We start from the raw sequence: 3,347 nt of genomic DNA on the forward strand, positions 1-3,347 counted from the left end.
TTTAAAATGGTACTACATTTTACATATTAATGCCACATTTGTCAAGAGCCCAAAGAATCAGGAAGTAAGGAATTATTCTGAGTAGGAAAAATAGTTGTCATAAAGTTCGGTGCCCTGGATTCAAGACTATTCTCTTTTAAAAAAAATTGTTTTTTCTTTAATCAACCCCCAAGTGTTTGGACAAGACCAATCTCATAAGAATCTTCAGGGCCTCATTCTGAATCTATTGGTTTGCATTTTGCATGAAGTTACAGCAGTTCTCATGATGTGGCTTCCAACCTTATAACAGATCAGAATGGTGTTAGAGGAAAATCAGCTGCTTCAGGTGGCATATCAATGACAATTAAGCAACAAGTGATTTCCTGTCAGCACGGAAGAAAACAAAAATTTTAAAGGAAAACTCAAGCCCTCCAAAGAACATTAGTAAAGTGTCATTTAGTAGGGCCAAATGGTCCTGGTGTTTTTAGAAGGCAGAGAGGTTCTAATACATCTTAGAAATGTTCCTACATACGGTCGGGTGCGCCTGAAATCCCAGCACTTTGGGAGGCCAACGCGGGCGGATCACGAAGTCAGGAGTTTGAGAACAGCCTGGCCAACATGGTGAAACCCCGTCTCTACTAAAAATACAAAAAAGTAGCCGGGCATGGTGGCGAGTGCCTGTAATCCCAGCTACTCAGGAGACTGAGGCAGGAGAATTGCTTGAACCCAGGAGGCAGAGATTGCAGTGAGCTGAGGTCCTGCTACTGCACTCCAGCCTGGCCTGGGTGGCAGAGTGAGACTCCATCTCAAAAAACAAACAAACAAAAAATCATTGTATGTAGGAACATTTCTCTCTTTCTTTCTTTCTTTTTTTGAGTCAGAGTTTCACACTGTCGCCCGGGCTGCAGTGCAATGGCATGATCTCGGCTCACTGCAACCTCCGCCTCCCGGGTTCAAGCAATTCTCCTGCCTCAGCCTCCCAAGTAGCTAGGATTATAGGCATGCACCACCACGTCCAGCTAATTTTTGTATTTGTAGTAGAGACGAGATTTTATCATGTTGGCTAAGCTGGTCTCCAACTCCTGACCTCAGGAAATCCGCCTGCCTCATCCTCCCAAAGTCCTGGGATTACAGGCATGAGCCACCACACCCCGCCTACAATAATTAATATAAAAATATCTTGGGCCAGGTGCGGTGGCTCATACCTGTAATCCCAGCACTTTGGGAGGCCAAGGCGGGTGGATCACCTGAGGTCAGGAGTTCAAGACCAGTCTGGCCAACATAGTGAAACCCTGTCTCTACTAAAAATACAAAAAAAAAAAAAATTAGCTGGGCATGGTGGTGGGTACCTGCAATCCCAGCTACTTGGGAGGCTAAGGCAGGAGAATTGCTTGAACCCGGGAGGCAGAGGTTGCAATGAGCTGAGATCACGCCATAGCATTCCAGCCTGGACAATGGAGCGAGAATCTGTCTCAAAAAATATATATATATAATATAAAAATATATATTTAAATATATAAAAATATATAGTTATATTTATATAATATATTTATATATTTAAATAGATAGTTTTATATATATTTATATATTATTTATATTATTTATATATTATATATTTATATATTATTTATATATTTATATAAATATGTATTTATAAATATTTATATAAATATATATATTTATAAGTATTTATATATATATTTATAAATATGTATATAAATATATATTTATAAAAATTTATAAATATATATTTATAAATATATATTTATATATATTTATATATATATATTTTTATATATTTTTATATATATTTATATAAAATATAAATATATATATTATATAAATATATAAATATATTTATATAATATATAAAATATGTATAAATGTATACATATAGGAGCTTGTAAGGAACCCTGTTAGCTACCATCAAAAGTCTCCATGCATCCATCCGTCCATCTATCCATCCATCCATCCATCATCCATTCACCCATTCATTACTGTATTTAAATGGAATGTGTATCTAGGGAGCTTATGTTCAAGTAGGGGGGAGACATGTAAATCATCACAGTAGAGTGACAGTATAGTACAATGCCTGACACATAGTAGGTACTCAAAAGTATTTATTGAGTAAGTGAAAGAATGCATAATATAGGTAAAATAAGAGCATAAAAGAGAGAAATTTTTAACATGGCAAAACCCTGTATCTACCAAAAAATTTAAAAATTAGCTGGCCTGGTGACATGCAACTATAGTCCCAGCTACTTGGGAAGCTGATGTGGGAGGATGTCTTTAGCCCAGGTGGTCTAGGCTGCAGTGAGCCGTTATCACATCACTGCGCCCCATTCTGGGTGACACAGCAAGACCTTGTCTTAAAAATAAACAAATAGTACGCCGGGCACGTTGGCTCATGCCTGTAATCCCAGCACTTTGGGAGGTCGAGGCAGGCGGATTACGAGGTCAGGAGATAGAGACCGTCCTGGCTAGCACAGTGAAACCCCGTCTCTACTAAAAATACAAAAAATTAGCCGGGCATGGCGGTGGGCGCCTGTAGTCCCAGCTGCTCGGGAGGCTGAGGCAGGAGAATGGCGTGAACCCGGGAGGCGGAGCTAGCAGTGAGCCGAGATCGTGCCACCGCATTCCACCCTGGGCAACTGAGTAAGACCAGTCTCAAAAAATAAAAATAAAAATAAAATAAATAAATAAATAGCTTGCTGCCACCAACATGGAGACTTTGTACCGTGTCCCATTCTTAGTGCTTAAATGTCCCAACCTGAAGCTGAAGAAGCCGCCCTGGCTGCACATACCATCGGCCATGACTGTGTATGCTCTGGTGACGGTATCTTACTTCCTCATCACTGGAGGAATAATTTATGTTGTTATTGTTGAACCTCCAAGTGTGGCTCTATGACTGATGAACATGGGTATCAGAGGCCAGTACCTTTCTTGGTCTACAGGGTAAATGGACAATATATTATGGAACGACTTGCATCCAGCTTCCTGTTTACCATGGGAGGTTTAAGTTTCATAATCCTGGACCCATTGAGTGCACCAAAGATCCCCAAACTCAATAGATTTCTTCTTCTAGTCATTGGATTTGTCTGTGTCCTATTAAATTTTTTCATGGCTGGAGTATTCATGAGAATGAAACTGCCGGGCTATCTGATGGGTTAGAGTGCCTTTGAGAAGAAATCAGTGGATACTGGATTTGCTCCTGTCAATGAAGTTTTAAAGACTGTACCAATCCTCTAATATGACATGTGGAAAAGAATGAAGAGCAGCAGTAAAAGAAATATCCAGTGATAAAAACAGGAAGCGTATTGAAGCTTGGACTAGAATTTCTTGGTATTAAAGAGACAATTTTATTACAG

At 39.2% G+C, this 3,347-nt stretch overlaps 1 pseudogene, besides 1 other annotated feature; it reads left to right on the top strand.

The window, feature by feature from the left end:
• Positions 992 to 1,153: a silencer, noted in NCBI's record as "fragment chr4:113604501-113604662 (GRCh37/hg19 assembly coordinates)". NCBI's record gives its function as "represses an EF-1alpha promoter that drives an FKBP-Casp9 reporter gene in an ReSE screen in phorbol 12-myristate 13-acetate-treated (for megakaryocytic differentiation) K562 erythroleukemia cells {active_cell/tissue: K562(+PMA)}" and the evidence as "EXISTENCE:reporter gene assay evidence [ECO:0000049][PMID:32094911]".
• Positions 2,687 to 3,347, top strand: OSTCP4 (oligosaccharyltransferase complex subunit pseudogene 4; annotated as a pseudogene).

The sequence above is a fragment of the Homo sapiens genome, chromosome 4 (genome assembly GCF_000001405.40).
Source record: "Homo sapiens chromosome 4, GRCh38.p14 Primary Assembly".
In the NCBI taxonomy this organism is placed as follows: Eukaryota; Metazoa; Chordata; class Mammalia; order Primates; family Hominidae; genus Homo; species Homo sapiens.